Source organism: Homo sapiens, chromosome 15 (assembly GCF_000001405.40).
Source record: "Homo sapiens chromosome 15, GRCh38.p14 Primary Assembly".
NCBI lineage: Eukaryota > Metazoa > Chordata > Mammalia > Primates > Hominidae > Homo > Homo sapiens.
In genome coordinates, this window is record NC_000015.10 from 50,170,249 (window position 1) to 50,184,293 (window position 14,045).

The following is a 14,045-nucleotide window of genomic DNA, read 5'->3' on the forward strand; positions in this document are numbered from 1 at the left end:
AAGAATCCTAAGAGCTGTGAGACAGAAGCACCAGGTAGCCTATAAAGGAAAACCTATCAGATTAACAGCAGATTTCTCAGCAGAAACCCTACAAGCTAGAAAGGATTGGGGACTTATCTTCAGACTCCTCAAACAAAACAATTATCAGCCAAGAATTTTGTGTCCAGCAAAACTAGGCATCATATATGAAGGAAAGATACAGTTGTTTTCAGACAAACAAATGCTGAGAGAATTCACCATTACCAAACCCCCCCCACCCTCCACAAGAACTGCTAAAGGGAGCCCTAAATCTTGAAACAAATCCTGGAAACACATCAAAACAGAACCTCTTTAAAGCATAAATCACACAGGACTTATAAAACAAAACTACAAGTTAAAAAGCAAAAACAAAACAAAACAAAAAAAAACAAAGTACACAGGCAACAAAGAGCACAATAAATGCAATGGTATCTCACATTTCAATATTAACATTGAAGGTGAATGGCCTAAATGCTCCACTTAAAAGATACAGAACCACAGAATGGATAAGAACCTACCAATCAACTATCTGCTGCTTTCAGGAGACTCACCTAACACATAAGGACTCACATAAACTTACAGTAATGGGGTGGAAAGAGGTGTTTCATGCAAATGGACACAAAAAGTGAGCAGGTGTAGCTATTCTTATATCAGACAAAACAAACTTTAAAGCAACAGTGGTTAAAAGAGATGAAGAGAGACAGCATAGAATGGTAAAAGGCCTTGTTCAACAGGAAAATATCACAATCCTAAATACATATGCACCTAACACTAGAGCTCCCTAATTTATAAAACAATTACTAACAGACCTAAGAAATGAGATAGACAGCAACACAATAATACTGGGGGACTTCAATACTCCACTGACAGCACTAGACAGGTCATCAAGACAGAAAGTCAATAAACAATGAATTTATACTATACCTTGGAACAAACAGACTTAACAGATATATACAGAACATTTCATCCAACAACCACAGAATATACACTCTATTCAACAGCACAAGGAACTTCCTCCAAGATAGACCATGTGATATGCCATAAAACAAGCCTCAATAAATTTAAAAAAATTGAAATTATATCAAGCACTCTCTCAGACCACAGTGGAATAAAACTGGAAATCAACTCCAAAAGGAACCTTCAAAACCATGCAAATACATGGAAATTAAATAACCTGATCCTGAATGAGCTTTGGGTAAAAACGAAATCAAGATGGAAATTTAAAAATTCTTCTAACTGAATGATAATAATGACACAAACTATCAAAACCTCTGAGATTCAGCAAAGGCGGTGCTAAGAGGAAAGTTCATACCCCTAAACACCTACATCAAAAAGACTGAAAGAGCATAAACAGACAATCTAAGATCACACCTCAAGGAACTAGAGAAACAAGAACAAACCAAATCCAAACCCCAGCAGAAAAAATGAAATAACCAAGATCAGAGCAGAACTAAATGAAATTGAAACAAACAAACAAACAAAAATACAAAGAATACATGAAACAAAAATCTGGTTCTTTGAAAAGATAAATAAAATTGACAGACCATTAGGAAGATTAACCAAAAAAAGAAAAGAAAAAAAAATCCAAATAACCTCACTAAGAAGCAAAACAGGAGATATTACAACTGACACCACTGAAATGCAAAAGGTCATTCAAGGCTACTATGAACACCTTATGCACATAAACTAGAAAACCTAGAAGAGATGGATACATTCCTGGAAAAATACAACCCTCCTAGCTTAAATCAGGAAGGATTAGATACACTGAACAGTGAGATTGAAATGGTAAATTAAAAATTACCAAGAAAAAAAAGTCCAGGACCAGACGGATTCACAGCAGTATTCTACCAGACATTCAAAAAAGAATTGGTCTCCCTCTCCCTCCCACTCCCGCTCCCTCTTTGCACAGTCTCCCTCTGATGCCGAGCGGAGGCTGGACTGTACTGCCGCCATCTCCGCTCACTGCAACCTCCCTGCCTGATTCTCCTGCCTCAGCCTGCCGAGTGCCTGGGATTGCAGGCGTGCGCCGCCACGCCTGACTGGTTTTCGTATTTTTTGGTGGAGACGGGGTTTCCCCCTCTTGGCCGGGCTGGTCTCCAGCTCCTGACCGCGAGTGATCTGCCAGCCTCGGCCTCCGGAGGTGCCGGGATTGCAGACGGAGTCTCGCTCACACAGTGCTCAATGTTGCCCAGGCTGGAGTGCAGCCGGCGTGATCTCGGCTCGCTACAACCTCCACCTCCCAGCCGCCTGCCTTGGCCTCCCAAGGTGCTGAGATTGCAGTCTCTGCCCGGCCGCCACCCCATCTGGGAAGTGAGGAGTGTCTCTGCCTGGCCGCCCATCGTCTGGGATGTGAGGAGCCCCTCTGCCCGGCCACCCAGTCTGGGAAGTGAGGAGCTCCTCTTCCCGGCCGTCATCCCATCTAGGAAGTGAGGAGCGTCTCTGCCTGGCTGCCCATCGTCTGAGATGTGGGGAGCGCCTCTGCCCCGCCGCCCCGTCTGAGATGTGAAGAGCGCCTCTGCCCGGCCGCGACCCTGTCTGGGAAATGAGGAGTGTCTCTGCCCCGCCACCACCCCGTCTGGGAGGTGAGGAGCGTCTCTGACCGGCCGCCCCGTCTGAGAAGTGAGGAGCCCCTCCGTCCGGCAGCCGCCCCGTCCGGGAAGTGAGGAGCGTCTCCGCCCGGCAGCCGCCCCATCCGGGAGGTGGGGGGCAGCCCCCGCCCGGCCAGCCGCCCCGTCCGGGAGGTGGGGGGCAGCCCCCATCCGGGAGGTGGGGGCAGCCTCCGCCCGGCCAGCCTCCCCATCCGGGAGGTGGGGGGCAGCCCCCGCCCAGCCGCCGCCCCGTCTGGGAGGTGGGGGGCGCCTCTGCCCGGCCGCCCCGTCTGGGAAGTGAGGAGCCCCTCTGCCCGGCCGCCACCCCGTCTGGGAGGTGTACCCAACAGCTCATTGAGAACAGGCCATGATGACGATGGCGGTTTTGTCGAACAGAAAAGGGGGAAATGTGGGGAAAAGAAAGAGAAATCAGATTGTTACTGTGTCTGTGTAGAAAGAAGTAGACATAGGAGACTCCATTTTGTTCTGTACTAAGAAAAATTATTCTGCCTTGGGATGCTGTTAATCTATAACCTTACCCCCAACCCCGTGCTCTCTGAAACATGTGCTGTGTCCACTAAGGGTTAAATGGATTAAGGGCGGTGCAAGATGTGCTTTGTTAAACAGACGCTTGAAGGCAGCATACTGGTTAAGAGTCATCACCACTCCCTAATCTCAAGTACCCAGGGACATAAACACTGCGGAAGGCAGAAGGCGGCAGGGCCCTCTGCCTAGGAAAACCAGAGACCTTTGTTCACATGTTTATCTGCTGACCTTCCCTCCACTATTGTCCTATGACCCTGCCAAATCCCCCTCTCCGAGAAACACCCAAAAATGATCAATAAATACTAAAAAAATTTAAAAAAAAAAGAATTGGTAGCAATCCTTTTAACACTATTCCACAATATAAAGAAAGAACCCTCCCTAATTCATTCTATGAAGCCAGCATCACCCTAATACCAAAACCAGGAAAGGACATAACCAAAAGAAGAAAACTATAGGCCGATATCCTGGATGAACATAGATGCTAAAATCCTTAACAAAATACTAGCTAACTAAATCCAACAACATATCAAACAGATTATCCACCATGATCAAGTGGGTTTCATACCGGGGATGCAGGGATGGTTTCACGTACTCAAGCCAATAAATGTCACACATGACATAAACAGAATTAAAAACAAAAATCACATGATCATCTCAATAGATGCAGAAAAAGCATTCAACAAAATCCAGCATCTCTTTATGATTAAAACTTTCAGCAAAATCGGCATACAAGGGACATACCTCAATGTAATAAAAGCCATCTATGACAAACCCACAGCCAGCATAATACTGAATGGGGAAAAGCTGAAAGCATTCCCTCTGAGAACTGGAACAAGACAAGGATGCACACTGTCACCACTCCTCTTCAGCATAGTACTGGAAGTCCTAGCCAGAGTAATCAGACGAGAGAAAGAAATATAGAGCATCCAAATCGGTAAAGAGGAAGGCAAACTGTCACTGTTTGCTGACGATAGGATCATTTACCTTGAAAACACTAAGGACTCCCCTAGAAAGCTCCTAGAACTGATAAAAGAATTCAGCACAGTTTCCAGATACAAGATTAACGTACACAAATCAGTAGCTCTTCTACATACCAACAACGACCAAGCAGAGAATCAAATCAAGCACTCGATCCCTTTTACAATCACTGCAAAAAAAAAAAAAAAAACTTAGGAACATACCTAACAAAGGAGTCAAAAGACCTCTACAAGGAAACTACAACACACTGCTGAAAGAAATCATAGATGACACAAAGAAATGGAAACACATCCCATGCTCATGGATAGGTAGAATCAATATTGTGAAAATGACCATACTGCCAAAAGCAATCTACAAATTCAAGACAATCCCCATCAGAATACCACCAATCTTCACAGAATTAGAAAAAAAACAATTCTAAAATTTATATGGAACCAAAAAAGAGCCCACATAGCCAAAGCAAGATTAAACAAAAAGAACAAATCTGGAGGCATCACACTACCTGATTTCAAACAATACTATAAGGCTATAGTCACCAAAACAGCATGGTACTGGTATAAAAATAGGCACATAGATTCATGGAACAGAATAGATAACCCAGAAATAAACCCAAATATTTACAGCCAACTCATCTTTGACAAAGCAAACAAAAACATAAAGTGGGGAAAGGATACCCTTTTCAACAAATGGTGCCTGTGACAATTGGCTAGCCACATGTAGAAGAATGAAACTGGATCCTCATCTCTCACCTTATGCAAAAATCAACTCTAGATGGATTAAGGACTTAAACCTAAGTCCTGAAACTATAAAAATTCTAGAACATAACATTGGAAAAACCCTCTAGACATTGGCTTATGCAAGGATTTCATGAACAAAAACCCAAAACCAAATGCAATAAAAACAAAGATAAATAGCTGGGATCTGATTAAACTAAAGAGCTTTTGCAAAGCAAAAGGAACAGCAGAGTAAATAGACAATCCATAGAGTGGGAGAAAATCTTTACAACCTATACATCTGACAAAGGACTAATATCCAGAATCTACAACGAACTCTAACCAGTAAGAAACTAACAAATCTAATCAGTAAGAAACGAAGAAACTAACCAACGAATCTAATCAGTAAGAAAACAACAAACAATCCTATCGACAAGGGGGCTAAGGACATGAATAGACAATTCTCAAAGGAAGACATACAAATGGTCAACAAGCATATTAAAAAATGCTCAACATCACTAATGATCAAGGAAATACAAATCAAAACTTCAATGTGATACCACCTCACTCCTGCAAGAATGGCCATAATTAAAAAATCAAAAAACCGTAGATGTTGGCATGGATGTGGTAAACAAGAAACTCTTCTACACTGCTAGTGGGAATGTAAACTAGTACAGCCACTATGGAAAACAGTGTGGCGATCCCTTAAAGAACTAAAAGTAGAACTACGATTTGATCCAGCAATCCCACTGCTGGGTATCTACCCAAAGGAAAAGAAGTCATTACTCAAAAAAGATACTTGCACACGCATGTTTATAGCAGCACAATTTACAATTGCAAAATCATGGAACCAAGCCAAATGCCCATCAATCAATGAGTGGTTAAAGATACTGTGATATATATAGTGTGTACATATGTATCGCAGTATATATATATCATAGTATAGAGAGAGTGTATATATATACCGCAGAGTATATATATATATATACCACAGAGTATATATATAGTGTGTATATATATATACTGCACAGCATATATATATACACTATATATAAACATTGTGTATATATACACACACAATGGAATACTACACAACCATAAAAAGGAATGAATTAACAGCATTTGCAGTGACCTGAATGAGATTAGAGACTATTATTCTAAGTGATGCAACTCAGAATTGGAAAGCCAAACATCGTATGTTCTCACTGACATGTGGGAGCTAAGCTGTGAGGATGCAAAGGCATAAGAATAATACAATGGACTTTGGGGACTTGGGAAGAGTAGAAGGAGGGCAAGGGATAAAAGACTACAAATCTGGTGCAGTGTATACTGCTCAGGTCATGGGTGCACCAAAATCTCACAAATCACCATTAAAGAACTTGCTCATGTAACCAGATACCACCTGTACCCCAATAACTTATGGAAAAATAAAATATTTTTTAAATTAAATTAAAAAATAAAAAACAAAATAAATAATAAAATCCAAAAAAGAGTACATTGTGACTGGGATGGAGAGTATGTGTGTTGCAGTGGGATATTGAAAGAAGAGAGAGAAAGCTGTTGAAAAAATACAAACCAAATCTGGAGAATTAGCACACATATTAGCACTAGAAACAATGATGATTTCATCAGGAGTTTTCCCTGAGTTAGAATTCAACACCTAATCAAAGACATTCTGGTCAGAACTAAAGAGGGCAAACATCTTTTTCTCAAATTATAAATTGTCCTGACTGTGTAGCAAGCACAACTGGGATGCCAATGCAAGGGTTTCCTGCTCTGTCATGTCTAATATCAATAATCAGTTGTTCTCAGTCTCACCTTTTTTTCATTCTCCAAAAAGAGGGTCAATCTTATCACATACCACCTCCATCAAACCCTTGCCATTTTGTTGGCTGAATACCTGCACATCCTGTATGCCTATACTCAAATGGTACCATGCTAGACAGTCAATAGGATGACAGGCACCCACATTTCAAGAAATGTGATTAACTTATGGCAACAACAGTCAGAGATTATTCTTCCCACAAACCACTGAATGAGTCAGTCACACAAAATTTCTATTTGTACCAAGTATGTAATGTCACAAAAATTGCAAGCTTCATAATCTATACTTTTTTGTCAAGAATGGCCCTGTGCATTAGGTGCCTCAAATTCTACAAAATTAACACAAGTCACTGTGAGAGCTCAGTACACTTCTCAAAGCTACTCAGCCAATGCATGACAGATAAAGACTCAAAATCAGGTCTTCTGGCTTCAAGTCTCACAATCTTTTCTATTACTTCATTCCAGGAAATTGAATTCTAGTTACGAAGGCAAAACTAACAGGTAAGAAACAATCAAAAGCCCACCTATGCGATGGGTTTATAAGTTCAGTACAAGGGCTGGATCAGCATGGGCTGGAAGATTTAAAGGAAAATGTTTGGGAATACTTTTTTTCACATGAACTCTACATGGAAGTGTAAAACAAGTATATGAGCTGTTTTGATTGGAGCTAGGGTAGGATCCTCCCAGAGCCCCTTTCCCACTCTATGCAATGAACTCTCCTCAGTAACTTCTCAGCCACTAGGGCTCTACCGAGTAGTTTGGAAGCCAATGGACTAAATCAGTAGTTCTCAAAGTATAGTCCCTGGACTAGCAGTGTCAGCAATACCTGGTAACTTCTTAGAGATGTGAATTCTTTGAATCAGAAATTTTGGAGATGGGGCTTAATAAACTATATTTTAGCATGTTCCCCAGGTGATTCTCAGACTTGTAAAGTTTGAGAAATAGTGAACTACTTCATCTCCATAAAGTAGGAAGGGACGCCACCTGCTTTAAAAGAACATTTGAGATTGGGATTGGAAACTTTGAAGGGGGTAGGGAAGGTCTGGGACTGCCAATAGGAAGCCTTCTCTCAAATAGCAGAGATAGATGATAGGGATGAACGTCCTGACCAAGGCTAGAAGGTGTCAGTATGCACACCCAGTAATCCTGTCTTGCCCCTAAACTTCTCCTGCAATACCTAGAATAGGACAGAAGACAGTGGGCATTTGAGGTCATCTATACCTGGATAGAAAGTTTAAGGAAAAGAGGGGTCTAGGAGGCCACGTTGAAGTGACTGGCCAGGAAGGGACCGAAATCTTGATAGAGGAAATGAATAGGCTCAGTAATGTCAGAGAATGGGAGAAGTGGAATGAGGAGGCTTAACTAAGCCTATGGGGACGGAGAATCTCCATGTCTGAGATCTCAGTGCTGACAAAATCCTAAATTACATCAAAGTCCAAGATCTGGCTCTATTTCATATTTCCCTGTGGAATTTATGTTACTGAATAGACAAACTTGTATAAAAACAATTTCTATATGGTATAAAAACCCAGACAAAAGTTGCAGTTTTCTACATTCAAAAATATTTTTAATGTTTTTATTTTTATCTGTTTGTGAGAATTTGTAAGATTATTTTGTTTTGTTTTTCATATGAGATGGGGTCTCACTGTGTTGCCCAGTCCAGTCTTGAACTCCTGGCCTCAAGTGATCCTCCTGCCTCAGTCTCCCGAGTAGCTGGAATTACAGGTGCATGCCCCCACACTTGGATAATTTCTGTACTTTTTATGTGTTGGTGTAACATTGTCTTCGTCTTTTCTTGGAAAGGGCTATATGTTTATTGTTACTGTCTTTAAAATTGTGGTAAAATATGCATAACATAAAAATTAACTATTTTAACCATTTTTAAGTGTACAGTTCAGGTATACTTTTTTAGTGCCAAAAATGTCATTCTTCTATAAAATAACAAATATACTGTGATGGGGGAGGGGGTTGTTCTTACTAGAAAAATTAAGAAGTCGTTACTTATTTTGAGTCCCTAACTTGGTTTCGAAATATAACACGGGACTAAGAAATTCAGGAATCAAACAACTACTGCCCTAAAGGAGAGTTGAGATTTACAGGGTTAGGATGGTCAGGGGTGGAAAGTGGTAAGAACAAGCCAGTAGAAAGAGGAAGGTGCAGGGCATTTTTAGGAGTGTGCAGACCAGACTTGCTAAAAACAAAGTGCGCTTGAAAAGGAACAGTTAGAATTAAGTTTTGGTCCATTTTAAAATATTTAATACCTAATAATGTTTGGTTCATAGCAGAAACTCAATAAATATTTGTCAATTGAGTGTAGTGAAAGCTTGAGTGAGATTCAGAAGAGCCAGAAAATAAAGTTTAAATTTCATTTTATAGACCAGAGGTTCCCAAGAGATGTACCAAGAATGGGCAGCCAACGTGCTAAGCTATCGATCACCTTTCAAAGGAGTCAGGCAGAAGCCAGGGCATCTGGTCAACTCTAGGCCAGGTATGTTCTAGTATGCTGTACAAGTACAACTGTCTATAGATGTCATTGGTGGAAGACAATAGGAAGCAATGGGGAACCACTAAAGATAATTGAGCAGTGGAGATATAAGATGGCAGCAATATTTCCAGGAAGACTATTGCTGTGGTTTTAATGTTCATGTCCCCTACAAAATTCATATATTGAAATCCTAACCCTCAATGTGATGGTATTAGGAGGTAGAGCCTTTGGGGAGTAATTTGATCATAGGGCAGAGCCCTCATGAATGGGATTAGTGCCCTCATAAAACAGGCCCCAGAGAGGTAATTTGTCCCTTCTACCAAACAGTACACAGTGAGAAGGCACCATCTGTGAGAAAGTAGCCCTTCACCAAACACCACATCTGCTGGCACCTTGATCTTAGACTTGCCTCCAGAAGTCTGAGAAATAAATTTCTGTTGTTTATAAACTACCCAGCTTACAGTATTTTGTTATAGCAGCCCAAACAGACTAAGACATCTATTAACCTCGTGATAAAGCAAGAGCTGGATCCCAGGCTCAAAGCTGGAATCACTGGGACTCCCAAGGTATATATTATAGACATTTGAAAATTACTTCCCCAAATTTACTCTCCCTAACCCCACTTTTTAATAATACCGTAAAACGTTCCACAAAATGGCCTAGGTGAAATTGATTATACTCTCACCCCCATGGGTGAGCGCTGATTGGCTTAAAACAACTAGCACCTTTTTCCCCAGGACCCACAGACATTGGTTCAGAAATGGGCGCATAATCCAGTCAGGGATTTTTTTTTTTATGAGAACTCCTAAGAAAAAGATTCCTGTACTTCTCTCTGAAGTTGAGCCAGAAAGCATGTACCCCTAAGGGCTGTTGGCAGCCATCTTTGGACAAAAACCAGAGAGCCTGAATGAGAACAGAGGAGGTGCAGAGGAGAAATAGTGAAAGCAAAACTAGATCCAGGTGTCAGCATTTAAAATCCTTGATGTCTTAGCCCCGGACTCTCCAGTTACTACTTAAATTCCTGTTTCTGCTTCAGCTAGCTTGGGTCTTGTTTTCTTTTACTTGTAACTGAGGTTAAAGTGATCCTCAGAATAAGAGGGGAAAAAGTGGACCCTTGTGGTAATCTAGCACTCTGGGTAGACAGTAGCTGTTCAAGGAAAAGAGAAGAGGGGTGCAGGTGGCTACACAGAAGCGATTAGCCATCAAGGGACGAGGGTGGCATTGGGATGAAAAAGGAAGGGCTGGCTCTGAGCTTCACCATGAAAGAAGTGCACATGAGAATGGTTTCTGTCGGGCCCTCACTTTGGTTAATTCTACTGCTTTCTCCTCAGGGATGATGAAGGCCCCCAGCTCATCCCCAGGGAAATGATGCAACCAGGTAGCTGGATCAGAAATGAAAAAGTCAGGAAAAGGGAAAGGTTGCTTGCGCAGTTACTAGGGATACGAAAAGGAGGCTAAAAAACGGCAGGGGGTGGCCTGGAGGGAATGTGAAACATTTTTGTGTGTTTTACACACACCGAAAAAAAAAGAGGACATGGACAGAAACCTAGAGAATAGGAGGACAGCATAGTATAGTTACTAAGAATAAGCTAAGAGTTGGTTCCCCGGGACCAAACAGATACCATTTCCAAAACCCACGAATTACTTACCGGCTGTCTCAATTCACCTAAGCTTCCCTTTCTTGTCTGTAAATGAGCATGAAAGTGCCACCTGTATAAAATAACTCAGGCTCCCAAAATGTAACATAGGGAAGCTCCTAGCAGCGTGTCTGGGAGGAATAAGCATTATCTGTATTTATCGTATCAAATTAAGATAGAGGAACACAGGAGGACAGTAGAGGATGAAAATAAAACACTACTTAGATCCTGACCCTCCTCAGTGGCAAGTAGTGAGCATTCACTTCGTACAGAAGTAGCACTAAGGCAAATTAAAAGAAAGGTTCACATTTCCTCTAAAAGAAATGGTTTTTGAGTCATGCCAATACCACTTACTCAATGTCCTCTGTACTATACTATTCTCTGACAGAGCCACTTATTAAATGTGTGAACTGTGCTGACAACACTTGACAACTTTCAACATGAGGGAACAGCAGGATCACTTAACAGAACAAAATCGTAAAATAATGTCAAAGCTTGATTTCAGGTGGTGCGGTGTAGCACTGCTCTTCACGAAATCAGGACTCCCCCGACCAGGCAGGGCCGACTAGGTTAGAGTGTCCTGCCCTCACTCACCTGGCAGGGCTTGGGATGAGCTGGACGTGACTGCCACAGGCATTTCTGTTCAACCTTGAAGCCTTCGCTACAGGAGACCGCCTGGCAGTCGGGCTGGGAAGCAAATCTGAGAAACAAAGAGAGACCAGGCGGAAAGCCCTTGGGACCAGGAAGGAGAGATGAGATTCTGGTTTGGCAGTGGCACCTGGTACCCGCTATTAATAAATAATAGGACTGTCTGACATTTATAAGGCACTTTATCGGTAATAACAGTGTCATCTCCATAAGCCATTCTATTAGTGGTAACAAATAATAGCCCCACGCCTGCAATATCTCCTTTAATATTCCCAACGTCCGCTAAGCGCGTCTCATCACCATTTAAAGAAACCGTGGCTCCTAGAGGTAAAGTACTTCGGTCACAACGCGAGGAGGTCCAGACTTGACCCCAGACCTCCAGACTCGAGCTGGGAAGTGGCCGAGGCTCCTGGTGAGCCGCAGGGCAGCCTGCCCAGCCCCGGGAGGACCGCGTGGGAGGGCCGGGAGAGCAGGTGGCTGCCCCCCACAAGGGGGCGGGCTCAGCCGGCCAGTCCTGCCCGGAACCCCCGGCAACGCGCATACGACTACACCTGCTCCGGAGCCCGCGGCGGTACCTGCAGCGGAGGAGCTCTGTCTTCCCCTTCATCTCACGCGAGCCCGGCGTCCCGCCGCGTGCGCCCCGGCGCAGCCCGCCAGTCCGCCCGGAGCCCGCCCAGTCGCCGCGCTGCACGCCCGGGGTGAACCCTCTGCCCTCGCTGGGACAGAGGGCCCCGCAGCCGTCATGCTTTCCGCCATCTACACAGTCCTGGCGGGACTGCTGTTCCTGCCGCTCCTGGTGAACCTCTGCTGCCCATACTTCTTCCAGGACATAGGCTACTTCTTGAAGGTGGCCGCCGTGGGCCGGAGGGTGCGCAGCTACGGGAAGCGGCGGCCGGCGCGCACCATCCTGCGGGCGTTCCTGGAGAAAGCGCGCCAGACGCCACACAAGCCTTTTCTGCTCTTCCGCGACGAGACTCTCACCTACGCGCAGGTGGACCGGCGCAGCAATCAAGTGGCCCGGGCGCTGCACGACCACCTCGGCCTGCGCCAGGGAGACTGCGTGGCGCTCCTTATGGGTAACGAGCCGGCCTACGTGTGGCTGTGGCTGGGGCTGGTGAAGCTGGGCTGTGCCATGGCGTGCCTCAATTACAACATCCGCGCGAAGTCCCTGCTGCACTGCTTCCAGTGCTGCGGGGCGAAGGTGCTGCTGGTGTCGCCAGGTGAGCCCCGAGGATCGCCCTGCCCTGGCACCAGGGCTTCTCGGCGCCTTGACTGACGAGCCACAGCGTGGCATAAGGGGTTCGCAGAGGGAGGTTCAGATCGGAACTGTAGGTATAGAAAAAGGTTGGCAGTGTTTCCTTGAATCGCAAATAATGATCTTTTAGGACCACCTGTTGTGGAAGCTGATAATGTGCTAGGTTCTGTGTTAAGCACTCTACAGGCAGTGTGGTTTTTAATCCTCACAATGGGTAGGCTTTGTTATAGGACTTTTATAGATGAGACCACTGAGGTCCTGAGAGGTGAAGCCTCATGCCCAGCCATCTATCTCCAAATTCCAAGCTCTTAATCAATACTTATAACATCTGCATTAAAATGCAGAGGATCTTGAGTGCGAACTCTAGTGGATCCAGAGGGGCTCTTCTCACCTCTGCTGCTTGACTGGCTGTGTGATCATGGGAAAGTCACTTCTCCTCTCTGTCCCTTGGTTTGCTCCTCTCTAATGAGGCAGGCTTCAATGTTGCTTCCAGCTCTCAACTGCTGTTAGCATCCTGTCCCCTCCCTGCAGAACAAAGGTGACCCCACCTGATCCCCAGGGAGAAGATACTGGGGATCTGCTACAGGACCGTTGTGAGCCCCCACTGCATCTATCACAATAGTGACCCTTTCAGTTCTGTGGTTAGCTCCTGCCACATTTCAGCCAGACTTGAAACAGTAACTTAAGTGATGACAAGGTCAGGAAGTGACAGAGAACCTGTTACTCACAGGGCTGATGGCTTTCCCCTCCCAGAGAGCTTGTCTCTGCACTTGAATAAGGACCAAGGGTTCCTTCTCTCAGTCAGTAAGAAGAGGCCTACACAGGAGTGGGCTGAAAGACCTGGGTGACAGGGTAGGGGTCGAGGGAGCCGAGGAGCCTCAGCTTTCTAGAATGCATTTCTGTGCTAAGCCCTATAGTAGATGCTTTTATTACCCCGGGAGATAACATATCACTATCCCCACCACCACCACCACCATTATACAGTTGAGAAAACTGAGGCTTAAAATTCCAACCTAGCTCTATCCAACTTCGAAGCCATGCTCTTTCCTACATCTTTTTTTTTTTTTTTTTTGACAGTCTCGTTCTGTTGCCCAGGCTGGAGTGCAGTGGCGCTATTTCAGTTCACTGTAACCTCTGCCTCCCAGGCTCAAGCGATCCTCCCAGCTCAGCCTCTCAAGTAGCTGGGACCACAGGCATGCACCACCATGCCCAGCTAATTTTTTGTTATTTTTGGTAGAAACAGGGTTTCACCATGTTGCCCAGGCTGGTCTCAAACTCCTGAGATCAAGCGATCCACCCACCTTGGCCTCGCAAAGTGCTGGGATTACAGGTGTGAGCCACCACACCCAGCCT

General features: G+C 44.3%; 2 protein-coding genes across 5 annotated transcripts in view, besides 2 other annotated features; one reads left to right on the top strand and one right to left on the bottom strand.

The window, feature by feature from the left end:
- The window catches only part of ATP8B4 (ATPase phospholipid transporting 8B4 (putative)), a 323,617-nt gene extending 312,011 nt beyond the window's left edge, over positions 1-11,606 (bottom strand). Inside the window, exon 1 of one of the 3 annotated variants that reach the window (XM_011522056.4) lies at positions 11,384-11,606. The gene's annotated coding sequence lies outside the window, so the exon portion shown is untranslated. The remainder of the gene's footprint in view (positions 1-11,383) is intronic. The other 2 variants (XM_047433096.1, XM_017022587.3) reach the window with 2 other exon arrangements.
- Positions 11,840-12,179: a silencer, noted in NCBI's record as "silent region_6423". NCBI's record gives its function as "represses an Ori minimal core promoter by ATAC-STARR-seq in GM12878 lymphoblastoid cells {active_cell/tissue: GM12878}" and the evidence as "EXISTENCE:reporter gene assay evidence [ECO:0000049][PMID:35858748]".
- SLC27A2 (solute carrier family 27 member 2) overlaps positions 11,948-14,045 on the top strand; it is a 54,190-nt gene continuing 52,092 nt past the window's right edge. For both annotated transcript variants that reach the window (NM_003645.4, NM_001159629.2), the window contains exon 1: positions 11,948-12,657. In NM_003645.4, the coding sequence (NP_003636.2) occupies positions 12,180-12,657 (478 nt within the window). In that variant the 5' untranslated portion in view covers positions 11,948-12,179. The remainder of the gene's footprint in view (positions 12,658-14,045) is intronic.
- Positions 12,450-12,549: a silencer, noted in NCBI's record as "silent region_6424". NCBI's record gives its function as "represses an Ori minimal core promoter by ATAC-STARR-seq in GM12878 lymphoblastoid cells {active_cell/tissue: GM12878}" and the evidence as "EXISTENCE:reporter gene assay evidence [ECO:0000049][PMID:35858748]".